The sequence below is a fragment of the Homo sapiens genome, chromosome 6 (assembly GCF_000001405.40).
Source record: "Homo sapiens chromosome 6, GRCh38.p14 Primary Assembly".
In the NCBI taxonomy this organism is placed as follows: domain Eukaryota; kingdom Metazoa; phylum Chordata; class Mammalia; order Primates; family Hominidae; genus Homo; species Homo sapiens.
The window spans coordinates 72,427,478-72,442,528 of record NC_000006.12 but is presented as its reverse complement, the minus strand read 5'-3'; positions in this window follow the sequence as shown (position 1 = coordinate 72,442,528).

The window sequence follows — 15,051 nt, the reverse complement described above, 5'->3', positions numbered from 1 at the left end:
ATATGCTGACATTTTGATAGAGTGGAAATCAATACCTATATTTCCAGCATTACCTACGGAGACAGAGAGTTTTCCAGGCTGGCAGGCTTTACTGCAACCTCTGAAGGTGTTAACATGTTAAGAGAAAGACTATGTGGACCAGAGGAAGCAGAACCTTACAGAAGCAAAGGGAAAAAGGCAGATACAAAGGAGATCGCAGGTCTGTGTTTCACAAGCACCTGGGATGTTTGTTTGAAATGTTGATGACTGGCCCCACCTCCATCCTAGTAAATCAGAATCTCTGGGAATAGAGTCCACAAATTTGAATTTTAGCAAGCTTCTTGGATCTTTTTTCAGCCCATTAACTTGTGGAAATATTAATTCAGATGTGACTTTCCCCAGAGCTGCAGGGGGAAGGGCCTCACTGTGGAGATGAGCATGTCAGACTGAGTAAACCCTGATGCCCTTTAAACTATCAGATCACAAGTCTTACTTTCCATGTTTTGATTTCATATTTACAGCATACTCTCTGACAATTTAGTTTCCATGCAGCTCAACCTACTGGAGGAAATTGTGCAGGTAAAGCTCATATGGATTTTGATCCTTTTTACGATCCTTTTTATGACGTTTTCATTGCAAATTTACCAATTATCAATGGTTGTTCCATTTAATAATGTCTCATTAGCTTTTTTCCTGTGAATTGAAACTCCAAGTCTGATCAATTAGCTAATAATTCTTGAGCTATATTGAGCTTGTGAACATGCAGGGTTGGAGATGGACCTTGGATTACCACTGTGTGTGTCTTTCTTATGGAGCATTCCTGGCCTCCTGCTGACATCTTTTCTACCCCACTTCCAACTGTCTCATCTTCCTCAAATGCTTATAATGAATTTGTAGTGGCTTTATCTGAAGAAATCAATACTCATAAAACATCTACCCATGTTGTACTATTTTATAGAGTCGGGTTAAAAAATGATGCTCCTTAATAAATTCAAAGACAGAATCTACCTTCTATCTTTCCTGTAGGGGTAAGGCCCAGCTCTGAAAGAATAATGTTTAACTAGTGGTGATTTTGCCTGGTGATTTTAACCAGGAGACATTTGACAATGTCTGGTGATACTTTTGGTCCTCACAACAGCAAGATGCTATTGGCATCTAGTGGAAGAGGCCAGGGATGCTGCTGAACATCTTAAAATGCACAAGACATCTCCCTACAAAAAAATTATTGGAATTATTGGGTACAGTGGTAGAAGAGACTCCTCTGTACCTTCTGCTCGAATTTTATACTTCTCTAAAAAGTGAAATCTATTAAAAATTATCTAGCCCCAAATGTCAATAGTACCAAGGTTGAGAAACCCTGTCCTGAAGGAAGCCATGAGAGTTCTTTACTAATTCTGAACCTACTTTCAATTTTTATGACAATGCTAGCTATTGTAAAGGAGAACAATTTTGTATACATATGCTTCCAAAGTGAGTTCAAATGTACATTTCTTTTTTTTCAAATCAGAAGATGATGCTATACTTTAGTAACATATGCTGCACAACATCACCCTCAAGATGAAGCCATTTAGCTATACCACAAATATGAGCCATGCTGAGGTGAGAATGAAATTCACTTTTAAATGAACATACTTATGCCAACAGAGGTAAACTAAATTAGAAGTATGCGATGAGAAATTTGGTCTCAGAATTTGGCTATGAGGGATGACCTACTTTGTGGGGGGTGGGGGGGCTCATTTTTGATTTCCAGAATCTGTGTGTTTCCCTCATTGCATGAGTCTTCCATACCCACACATCTTGTGGGCCATATGGTGCTCTTTTGGAATGACTTTCATTTGATTTTCTCCTTTTCAGAGATTTTTTTTTTTTAAATTTTCACTCTGTCAGAAAGCACAGAGGTCCTTGAGGAAGGGTCTTTTGTCAAAATGCTCTTCTTAGTAGTAGTGACCTTTGATGATTCCACTAGGATTCTTAGCAGAATAATATATCTTCTGAAAAAAAAAGCAAAAAACAAACAGACAAAAAAACCAGAAGTATAGCCTACTGGTGAAGCTTAGAGAAGCATTTTATATAACTTGTTTGGAGGAAGGAAGGAACCCACTCTTCATTTGGGGTTAGGACTTCATTAGTTTCCTCATGGGGAAAATTCACAGATTTCTTTTAGGCAGGGGTTGTGTGATGGGGAAAATGGGCAAGCACAGAGGTGAGTTAGGGGTTAAGGATGGGAGAATACAAACGTCACTTACTGGGGAGTTACTCACTGCAAACCTCAGGGCCATGGAAGAAAGGCACTTGACAAAATCACGTGTGACCTGAGATGTTCAGCAGTGAGGAAGATGAGAGAAAATGGCTCACTACTTCTTACAAGGACCAACCCAAATACGGGGGGACTTCAAAAAATACATGGAAAAATGGAATTAAAAGACAAAAATTGCCAACTTTATTTTTCAACATAAGCCCCATCAAGTTCGGGACACTTCTGAAAGCTATGATACCAGTCATTTAGTCCATCCTTAAAGAAATGAGAGTTGGGAATGTAGCCATGTCAATGCCATCTTTTTTTACATTAGTAACTGAAGAAAAATGGTGCCCTTTAAAGATTAGTTAAATATTAGGAAACAAAAGAAGTTAGCAGAATTTAAATCAAGACTGTAAGGTGAAAGCCTAACGATTTTCCATCAAAACTTTCACAAAATTGCCCTTGTTTGATGAAAGGAATGAGCAAGAGCATTGTCATGGAGGAGGCAGACTCTCTGGTGAAGCTTTCCCAGGTGTTTTTCTTCTAAAACTTTGGCTAACTTCCTTCAAACACACTCATAATAAGCAGATGTTATTGTTTTTGCGTCCCACCCCCTGCTCCTGGAAAGTCAACACACAAAATGCCTTGAGCATCCCCAAAACTGCCGTGATCTTTGTTCTTGATTAATCCACTTTTGCTTTGACTGGACCTCTTCCACCTCTTGGTAGCCATTGCTTTGATTGTGCTTGTCTTTGGGATCATACTAGTAAAGCCTTGTCTATCTCCTGTTACAATTCTTCAAAGAAATGCTTCAGGATCTTGATCCTACTTGTTTAAAATTTCAATTGAAAACTCTGATCTTGTCTGTAGCTCAAGTGGGCACAACATTTTTGGCACTTACCAAGTGGAAAGTTTGCTCTGCTTTAATTTTTAGTTCACAGCTGTGTAAGCTGAATAAGTTAAGATGCCTATGGTGTTGGGCTACTGTTTCTGCTGTTAATTGCTGGTCCTTTTCAATTGGGACACAAACAAGATGAGTGTTTCCTTGCAAGTATGTGTGGATGGTATGGCACTGTGAGCTTCATCTTCAACAATATCTCATTCCCTCTTGAAATGAGTTATTCACTTGTAAACTGCTGATTTATTTGGGACATTTTCCCCATAAACTTTCATAAAGCATTATTTATTTCATCATTCTTCCACGCAAGTTTTACCATAAATTGATGTTCATTCTTGCTTTAATTTTAGCAGAGTTCATGTTGCTCTGATTGGGGCTCTCTTGAAACTCATATCTTATCCTTCTTAGTGGCTCAAATTAGATGCTGTTGAGGCATGTTATAAAAAGTTAGTACAAGTATATTTTGGTGCAAAAAATTTAAAATCCATGCATTTTTTCAGAATATATATTTGTTTTCTGTAAACTTTTAAACTATCTATTAGTATTGAAAATGCCAACAGGACAGCAGGAGAGACTCACGATTAATTAAATACAATTAAGGAGTGGAACTTACTGTACCAAAACAGAACCTGCTCACTTCCCAGAAAGCCTGCCCAGACTTTTAGTTTTCCATCCATTGGTCTTCTTTAAATGTAATTTTTCAGCTTCAGTGTAACACTCATTTGCAGATGAAGCTGGGCTGAAGCACTCTGTTTTCTTCTGGCAGGATAACACCTCTGTGTGGTCTGTTACATTTGTTGTCTGCTTAAGACCTTTCCACCATTGTATCTGCTTACAATTGGTGAAACTCCTGTTTGGTAAGTTGCTTCTCAGTAGAAATGCAATCATAGCCATTATCTGTAGGATGGCACCTTCTCTACTGTTTAGTGTTTTGGATTAGTGGAAGAGCTTTCCCAGTTGATAGTTTGCTATCACCTACTCAAAGCCAGGCAGCCTTTTAGCCAATTTCAACATGCTGCTGCAGGCAAAGAGACACAAATCTGAAATCCAGGAAAATTAAGAAGCCATTTAAAATCTCTTCTACAATGGCTCACACCAGTGTCAAAAAGGGTTTACATTCATATCACTGAGAAAATAACTTTAAAACCTCTTTTCCCCTATCTCTCTGATTCTTTATTCAGGCATACAAGCTGTTGGGAAATTTCTCTTCTCTATCCTCCAAAACTCTATAAACCCAGTCCATGTTAGGTTGAGTACCTCCTACCATCTTTCTGGATCTTTTAAGCTGTCCATCAAATGCTGTTCTTCCGTTCTAATCTAGATTGGTCTAGCTTTCAAAGCATTTTTCAGTTTTCCTTTCTATCCATTACATGAACAACAAAACTGTCACGTGCCAGGCAATGAGAATTTGCTACTTTTGAAAGTTATTTCAAAGATAAAAGCTTAGCAAATCCATACTTTCCCCGCAAAATCACATGAACGTGCTCACAGTGACAAGGCACCCTGCACTCTGTTCTTTTTGAGGAGAAAATGACAATTAATTCTCATGTCAAATTGTTAAAAGTATGTCTACACAGGATTAATATTTTGGTGGCCCAGAGCAGAAAAATGCATTTTAGCAAATCGCCTAGAAAGAGTGATTCCATTCTATGAATAGGTTCTTGAAGTTCTTATTGGTACTGACTGTCAAAGCTGTAGAGTTTCTTTCTTTCTTGATGTCTTAATGTAACTAATTTCTAGACAGAAAGGAAGGCATGTCCAGGCTTCTCTCAAAAAGGATCATCTTGTTAATTCTTTCATGAATTAATCCTGTGGGTGATTAGCAATTCAGGAGCAGGTGTTCAGTTGAGCCTCTGGAGGACCTATGCCCTTTTCAACTCAGAGGAAGTCCTAGACTGGCTAGGATTTTAGAGATAATGGCAGAACCAAGGGCTGAAAGCCTATGATGGGAGGCATTCTGTCTCACCAACTGGTGAGAAGAACAGAGTGCCTTGCTACTATTTGTGTGTGTGTATGTTTGTGTGCCTGTGTCATGTGTGTATGTGTGTGTGTGTGTGTGTGTGTGTGTGTGTGTGTGTGTGTGTGTATTTTGTAAAGTACAGCTTTGCTTACCCTTTTTTTTGGATGGAGTTTTGCTTCTGTTGCCCAGGCTAGAGTGCAAATGCGCGATCTAGGCTCACTCTAATCTCTGTTTCCCGGGCTTGAGTGATTCTCCTGCCTCAGTCTCCCCAGTAGCTAGAATTATAGGCGTGCATCACCACACCTGGCTATTCTTTGTATTTTTAGTAGAGACGGGGTTTCAGCATGTTGACCAGGCTGGTCTCAAACTCCTGACCTCAGGTGATTCGCCTGCTTCAGCCTCCCAAAGTGTTGGGATTACAGGTGTGAGCCACTGTGCCTGGCCTGCTTACCCTTATTATTAAAATCACAAAATTTTAAAGTGCTAAATTAAATGATACATTTAGTACTGTAGGAGTTCAGGTATCTGGGAGATAAAAGCAAGTTGTGTTAGTTCTGGAGACAAATCAGGCCTTGAATGAGACAGGGAGAAGAACTAAAGACCTAATCATAATCTCTTTTTTACATACTTTCAATTTTTAAAATTTGAATAAAAGTATGCAAATATTAAAAATGGGCCAGGCGCAGTGGCTCACACTTGTAATCCCAGCACTTTGGGAGGCCTAGGTGGGCAGATCACGAGGTTAGGAGGACTTCGAGACCAGCCTGGCCAACACAGTGAAATCCCGTCTCTACTAAAAATTCAAAAATTAGTTGGGAATGGTGGCAGACGCCTGTAATCCCAGCTACTCAGGAGGCTGAGGCAGGAGAATCGCTTGAACCTGGCAGACAGGGGTTGTAGTAAGCCGAGATCATGCCACTGCACTCCAGCCTGGGCGACAGAGCTAGACTCTGTCTCAAAAAAAAAAAAAAACAGTTTATCTTTTCTGCATTTTTATGAATCTTCTATAACTGGTATATAATTTATCTTACAATGGGAGAATAAAATCTAAATTATACTTAAAACAACATAGTGATTGAGAGCTGAAGCTAGGCTCTGTAGCCAGGTTGCCTGTATTCAAATCCTGGTCCACTATTCAGGCTGCTACACCTCAGGCAAGTTGCCAGTCTTCTTTTTGGCTCAGTTTTTCTATCAACTGTGGGTACTAACAGTACTTCTCTCCTGGGGTTATTGTGGGTGATAAATAAATTAATACATCTAAAATACTTGGAGAAGTGTCTGACCTAAAGATCATCCTCAGTACACATTAGGCAAGGAGGAAGATAAGAGCAGGAAGAGGAGGAGGAAGATTCTATTCCTCTAAAATCCTAGCACTAACAGCCCAATGAATGAAAGCTTTTTCCTCTTAATGCCTATTTTGGCAGCTAACTGATAAATTGTATTGAAAGAAATCAAGACTGCAATTTCTAGCTCTATTTAATAGATAATAGATCTATTTACTAGATTTATCAAGATAATTTATAATTATCAGGTCATGCAAATTTTATGTTTATTAGTGTTCATAGAGATTTTAATAAGGATTGAAAAATTAAAGCTTAAATAAAACTTACAGTCCCATATATTTACAATAAAGTCATATCATTTCATAGATTTTCTTGCTGAACTATGTGTTTTTCTTTCCCATAAATGTATTACGGACACTTGAAGATTAAGGTAGACCCTGGCTGCTATTTCAGAATCAACCTATCAATTAAACTGAACCAGGAACAATTTTTTTACAATTATAATTCATCTTTTATTTTTATATTTATTTTAGTAGTATTTATTTCTGTATTCCAATTATAAAGGGAATATTGAACATTTAGCATCACAGGTTGTTAATAATCAAAAGAAGTAAAGGAATGGCCTCCAGAAACAATTTATAGATGTTCATTAAAGAGAATTTGGAAGCTATTGAAAAGAACAACTGTAATCCCATCACAGATAGATATTCTTTTAATATTTTGGTATGTTATTTTCCACTAATTTTTTTCCTGAAAAGTGACTCTAATATTTTGATAATTTATCAGTAGATTCTTTAATATTTTGAACATTTTGTTATAAAGTATAATCATCTGTAAATATAAACAGTAGTTAACCCTTTCTGACTGCAAACACACCAGCAAAGTGTTTTGTTTGTTTGTTTGTTTTGCTGTGGGTGCTTAAGCGTTGTGACACTTAATAGGCTAGTGTCCCTTTTAACACTTAAAAGGGACACATAACTGAAATAGTGACTTGGTGTATGTAAAATCCACCTGCTCTTACGAATAGTTTCTAGAGGTTATCCCTTCCCTCCCTTCCCTCCCTCCCTTCCTTCCTTCCTGCCTTCCTTCCTGCCTTCCTTCCCGCCTTCCTTCCTGCCTTCCTTTCCTTTCTTCCTTGCTTGCTTCTTTTTCTTTCATTCATTCTTTCTCCTTCACCTCTTACCCCAGGTCATTTGAAAAAGTACAATATTCTTAGGTGGCAACTTTTTGGGGGTTTTAAGAATTTGTTTTTATCACGAACATAAAATATTAGCACTAAATTAGCAGATACTTTTTCTGTTGACAAATAAGATGACTCACTGTTCTAACACTGAATAGGTCTGTTCCTCACAAAATAGTAGGCCTTCCATTAGACTTATATTTAAATTTAAAAATTTATCTTATTTACTTATTGTGCTATTGTCCACGTATTGAACATAACTTTAACAATCAAACATATGAGTTATAAAAATTAGTGTATAATATTTATTAATAGGGCACTTCAATTAAACAGTATTCTTCTTACTCCACTCCTAAAAAATTAAAAGCATTCTGAATTACATTCATATTATTCTCAATTGCCATTTAGGATTGTTGGTTTCCCACATTTCTTTAAAAATCAAAGAATTATTTCTGGAATTATATCATACAGCTCTACCACCTGCTGGTCATAAACAGTGTAATTATGCACAGTTCTTCCTGTCACTGATGCACACTCTTTGACAATTTTAATAACTGGCTCTGTTATCGTCTCTCTTCCAACTCCTGCCATAACCTTGGAGAAATTTAATTTCCAAAGGAAATAAACCATCCCATCTGTAGATGAAGCTCAGTTTCATGATCATTTTAAACCAAATTGTCTTTATCTTGTTTTCAATCAATATTTCTCTGTTAAGTTAGAAATGATAACTTTGTTATTCTCCTCTACAACCACACCCTTCTCTTCCTCTACTCGGTCAATTACTTCCATTAAATTTTCCCTTTAATTAGCTGAGATCTCTAGGTCTTTGGTTGCTGTCTTTAATTCCAATTGATAAATTCTTTACTGGCTTTTCTTCTTCCCTTAGCGGCTTAAATACTATGGTCAAACCATTTCTACTAGTCTTTCGTAATGACTCAAAGTCTTGTCTACTTGTGTTTCTGTCCTGTCTGATATGTGAAGCCACACTTCTGCATTAATCATCTACCTTTTCTCTTCCCGCATGAAGAGTTGGGAAGCCTGCTAAAGATTAAATAGAAGTCTCAAAACTTTTCAGATTGGAATTTGTACAAATGTATGCTTTCCAACGTCAGCTGAGCCTTTCAATTCCTTGTTCTTGGAAAGATTACTTTCCCACATCCCACCACTCTTTTCAACTCAACACCTACTTCAACTCAAGTCCCTTACCCCATCCTTCTTGGCAGATGGCCTTGTCTCCTACCTCCCAGTGAAGAGAAACTAACAAGCTCCCTCATCTTCCTTCTTCCTTATTTACCCCTTCACAAGAACAGGTGTTTTCTTTCTAAAACTAATCCTTTTAAAACACTCCTGGTTTCTCTAAAGATTTGTCATCAATTCTTTTATCTTTTCACTTCTTAAATAAATGTGTCTTCCCCCACTAGTAAATATAATCATGTCAATTTCTTCTATGCTGTTATTAAAGTCTATAATTTATGCTTTCTCTGATTTTCTATTTTTTCCAGACTTACTATATATTGCTTTTGTTACCAGATACAAAACAAAACAATGTAATGTAATGTACTCTCTCTCTCTGGACAAACTTCTTGAAAGAATAATGCTATTCTGTACTCACTATTTCTATTTTCTCACCTCTGATTTGTTCAGTCCCATCCTACTAGCTCTCTGTCACATGATGCCAGCCCATTGCTCACATAGTCACCAATAATTTTCTAAATAACAGATATAATAACACCTCCTTCTCCTTTTTCTTACTTGTCCTCCTCATGTCATGAGTCACTGCTTACAGTTCCAGGGTTTGCTTCTTCTCTTACTCTACATGGTCTCCCTGGGTGATAGCATCCACATCCATGGCTTTCAGGGATGCAGTCACACTAATGACATCCAGGGATGGTGTCTCTCTTGAACTCCCATATCAGATCTCAAGTCTCCATTGAGTATCTCCTCCTGGGTGTATTGCGCAGGCATCAGGTATCTCAAATACAAAAGGTCCAGAAGAGAACTAATCTCTGCCCCCTCCAACCTTCTCTTCCGTCTTTGTTTTCTACCTTGATGACTCGTATTGGCATTACCTTATTCTCCAAGCTACAAGAGTCATTCTGGTTTACGTCATTTGCTTCCCATGTCCAATTATTGACCACATTATGTTGCTTTTGAGTAACAAATATATGTAGCATATTTTCTAGACCATTTCCCCTAAATCTTGACTGTTCTATATTGGCACAGAACAATTGCTTTCCAACTCTCTTTGGTAATTGGCTGCTCGATTCACAGAAGTCATTAACAACTCCAATAGACAGAACTCTTAACGGCCATGTCTTGGTTAGCAGCCTATCACCTAAACATGAATGATTGATCCAAGCTGGGAAAAGCAGATTCTTTTTCCTGGAGATGGGAGTTATTAATTTTTGGAATACAGGGACAAGAGTTGGTAGAACTGAGACACATTAATGACATCTTTCTAAGTAGACTGTCCATGACTTCTGTAGCTCCCATGGTTCTGTCTGCAGTCTTAGTTATTTAATAATTTATTCAGCTAAATGAGATAACCCAACACTTTGCAACAAATTCCTTTTCTTTGTTAAATTTCATCCATTTGTTCCTGCTGCTTGAAACCAAAACATCCTGAACTATACCCGAAGTTTTCTAACATTGCCATTGGAGTTATCTTTCTGAAATAAAAGGTGGATTTTATTTCCTTCCTTAAATTATTTAAGAGGGACTCAATTGCCTAGTGTATAAACCCAATTTCCATAGCTAAGCATAAAAGGACCTTCACAATCTGGGTTCTTCCTTCCTAGTGTTATCTTCCAATACTTCTCTGTGTGTAGTAGGAATTCCGGTCCCATTGCTTGTAATTATGGGATCTTTGGTGTGCTTCAGGCAGTTGAGCCTCGCCCGTGCCTCCCTCTTGGCTTAGTTTCGTGTGCCTCCTTTCCTTTGTGACGCATCCCCTCACTCAGCTCTTCTGACACCCTTAGGCACAGTCGGCATCCTCTTCTACTCTGCTCCTACGGTACCTCCTATTTACTTCTGCAAGTGTTTACAATGCTGCAGTGTAAATACTGGCTTATAAGCCTGTTATCCTATTAAACCGGAAGCTCCTTGATGATGAAGACTCTTGGGGCATGTCTGGCCAAGGAGACCAGGTGCTTCTGGAAGCACCATCATGGGAGGGAGAATGATAGAATGTAGGGGACCATTAGAAAATTGAGGAAGCATAGTGTTTTTTTCAGACTCTCAGACAGCTTCCATAATGAGGTACACCCTGAGAGAAGAGTATATTATGACCTCATTAATGGAAATAAAATAAAAGGACAGAGATGTTTGAATTGAAACGAAAGTGGGACCTTTCTCATTTAGAGATACAAGATTGACAAAACAGAAGAAAACCTCTGTCCATGTCAGCTTGGGGACAGCAAAAATGCAAGAGCCTGTGGCATTAGGATGGGGGATGTGAGAAGGACTGGGATGGCAGCTTAGGGACACATGGGAGACCTAACAGCAATGTCTGAATAACAATGGCCAAGTCCCACTGATTTAGCGACTAGACACCAAAAGATCTTCACTGTTACTGGGCCTTGTTCATAACCATAACCATTGCTGAATTGGCTAAGGATAAGATCCAAATATCCCACAGATGATTTGAAAACAATGATAATAGTTGTTTGGACTTGACTTCTGTTGTGTAAATGTTGCAAGAGGTTGGTCAAGAATATTGAACAGATGAGTTGGGTGAGGTGGTCTGAGTACATGTGAGTGTGAGCCTATGACTAAAGAGTCAAGGAACAGAATACGCTCAACAGAGGTGAATGAAAATGTAAACCTGGCAATTGTCAAAATTTTGGACAGCCTTAAAACTTTTAAGATGTTGTCACTTTAATATGCCCTTAGGTTTCTACATTTCTACATCTTTCTTTCTTTCTTTCTTTCTTTCTTTCTTTCTTTTTTTTTTTTTTGGACAGGGTCTCACTGTCTCCCAGGCTGGAGTGCAGTGGTGCAATCATAGCTCACTACAGCCTCGACCTCCTGGGCTCAACTGATCCTCCCACCTCAGCTACTTGAGTAACTAGGACTACAGTGTGTGCCACCATGCCCAACTAATTTTTTTTTCATTTTTACTTTTTCTAGAGAGGGGTCTCACTATATTGCCCAGGCTGGTCTCAAACTCTTGGGCACAAGCCTTGGCCTCCCAAAGTGTTGGGATTACAGGTGTGAGCCACCATACCCAACCAGCCTCTACTTTTTTAAAAAAATTACTATCCGTTAAGTAAACAGTGATGATGAAGTAAAATAAAGTTTTGCCAAAGCTTTAGGTATTAAATCTGTTTTAAAAACTCACTTAACTATGAAATTTTACTTTGTTTTTATTTATTTTTTAATTTCCTGGGTATTTTTCTGTTCTGGCCAACTATCTTTGCTTTTTTGGCTTAGGCCAGTGTTTTCTGCTTTAATATAGTTATTATAACCACCATTTTAATGTTCCTGTGATGTTGCAAATGAAAACCCCAAGTCACTTTTATCTTGTGAAAATCATGTGCTAGATTTATTGATGAAAAGGAAAGTGCTTTTATGAGTCCAGTATAGATGCACTCCAGTTATTTAGCATCATAATACTTACTAACTGTGAATATGGTTTTGGCAGAACACACTGTCACCTTTAGGAACATTTCAGTAGGGGCTGGTGGTTATGTGATTGGCGTTATTTTCTCCATGATTACATTTATCAAAAATGAATACATTAAAATTAAACAATCATAATGTTTACCATTACTCTATTACATAAAAGGTAAAATTAGATTTCTGATCATTTATTTTCCCACAATCTGGGTAGTAAATAGAAAAATATTGGTGCATTTTCCACTTCGCACTTATTCCAAAATTGACCATATAGTTGGAAGTAAAGCCCTCCTCAGCAAATGTAAAAGAACAGAAATTATAACAAACTGTCTCTCAGACCACAGTGCAATCAAAAACTAGAACTCAGGATTAAGAAACTCACTCAAAACCACTCAACTACATGGAAACTGAACAACCTGCTCCTGAATGACTCCTGGGTACATAACGAAATGAACGCAGAAATAAAGATGTTCTTTGAAACCAATGAGAACAAAGACACAACATACCAGAATCTCTGGGACACATTTAAAGCAGTGTGTAGAGGGAAATTTATAGCACTAAATGCCCACAAGAGAAAGCAGGAAAGATCTAAAATTGACACCCTAACATCACAATTAAAAGAACTAGAGAAGCAAGAGCAAACACATTCAAAAGCTAGCAGAAGGCAAGAAATAACTAAGATCAGGGCAGAACTGAAGGAGATAGAGACAAAAAAAACCCTTCAAAAAATCAATGAATCCAGGAGCTGGTTTTCAACAAAGATCAACAAAATTGATAGACTGCTAGGAAGACTAATAAAGAAGAAAAGAGAGAAGAATCAAATAGACACAATAAAAAATGATAAAGGGGTTATCACCACCAATCCCACAGAAATACAAACTACCATCAGAGAATACTATAAGCACCTCTACGCAAATAAACTAGAAAATCTAGAAGAAACGGATAAATTCCTCAACACATACACCCTCCCAAGAATAAACCAGGAAGAAGTTGAATCTCTGAATAGACCAATAACAGGCTCTGAAATTGAGGCAATAATTAATAGCCTACCAACAAAAAAGTCCAGGACCAGATGGATTCACAGCCGAATTCTACCAGAGGTACAAGGAGGAGCAGGTACCATTCCTTCTGAAACTATTCCAATCAGTAGAAAAAGAGGGAATCTTCCCTAACTCATTGTATGAGGCCAGCATCATCCTGATACCAAAGCCTGGCAGAGACAAAACAAAAAAAAAGAATTTTAGACCAATATCCCTGATGAACATTGATGCAAAAATCCTCAATAAAATACTGGCAAACTGAATCCAGCAGCACATCAAAAAGCTTATCCACCATGATCAAGTGGGCCTCATCCCTGGGATGCAAGGTGGTTCAACATATGCAAATCAATAAACGTAATCCAGCATATAAACAGAACCAAAGACAAAAACCACATGATTATCTCAATAGATGCAGAAAAGGCCTTTGACAAAATTCAACAGCCCTTCATGTTAAAAACTCTCAATAAATTCGGTATTGATGGACGCATCTCAAAATAATAAGAGCTATTTATGACAAACCCACAGCAAATATCATACTGAATGGGCAAAAACTGGAAGCATTCCCTTTGAAAATGGGCACAAGACAGGGATGGCCTCTCTCACCACTCCTATTCAACATAGTGTTCGAAGTTCTGGCCAAGGCAATCAGGCAGGAGAAAGAAATAAAGGGTATTCAATTAGGAAAGGAGGAAGTCAAATTGTCCCTGTTTACAGATGACGTGATTGTACATTTAGAAAACCCCTTTGTCTCAGCCCCAAATCTCCTTAAGGTGATAAGCAACTTCAGCAAAGTTTCAGGATACAAAATCAATGTGCAAAAATCAAAAGCATTCTTATACACCAATAACAGACAAATAGAGAGACAAATCATGAGTGAACTCCCATTCACAATTGCTTCAAAGAGAATAAAATACCTAGGAATCCAACTTACAAGGGATGTGAAGGACCTCTTCAAGGAGAACTACAAACCATTGCTCAATGAAATAAAAGAGGACTCAAACAAATGGAAGAACATTCCATGCTCATGGATAGGAAGAATCAATATCATGAAAATGGCCATACTGCCCAAGGTAATTTATAGATTCAATGCCATTCCCATCAAGCTACTAAAGACTTTCTTCACAGAACTGGAAAAAACTACTTTAAAGTTCATATGGAACCAAAAAAAGATCCCACATTGCCAAGTCAATCCTAAGCCAAAAGAACAAAGCTGGAGGCATCACACTACCTGACTTCAAACTATACTACAAGGCTACAGTAACCAAAACAGCATGGTACTGGTACCAAAACAGAGATATAGATCAATGGAACAGAACTGAGCCCTCAGAAATAATACCACACATCTACAACCATCTGATCTTTGACAAACCTGACAAAAACAAGAAATGGGGAAAGGATTCCCTATTTAATAAATGGTGCTGGGAAAACTGGCTAGCCATATGTAGAAAGCTGAAACAGGGTCCCTTCCCTACACCTTATACAAAAATTAATTGAAGATGGATTAAAGACTTAAATGTTAGACCTAAAATCATAAAAACCCTAGAAGAAAACCTAGGCAATACCATTCAGGACATAGGCATGGGCAAGGACTTCATGTCTAAAACACTAAAAGCAATGACAACAAAAGCCAAAATTGACAAATGGGATCTAATTAAACTAAAGAACTTCTGCACAGCAAAAGAAATTACCATCAGAGTGAACAGGCAACCTACAGAATGGGAGAAAATGTTTGCAATCTACTCATCTGACAAAGGGCTAATATCCAGAATCTACAAAGAACTCAAACAAATTTACAAGAAAAATACAAACAACCCCATCAAAAATTGGGTGAAGGATATGAACAGACACTTCTCAA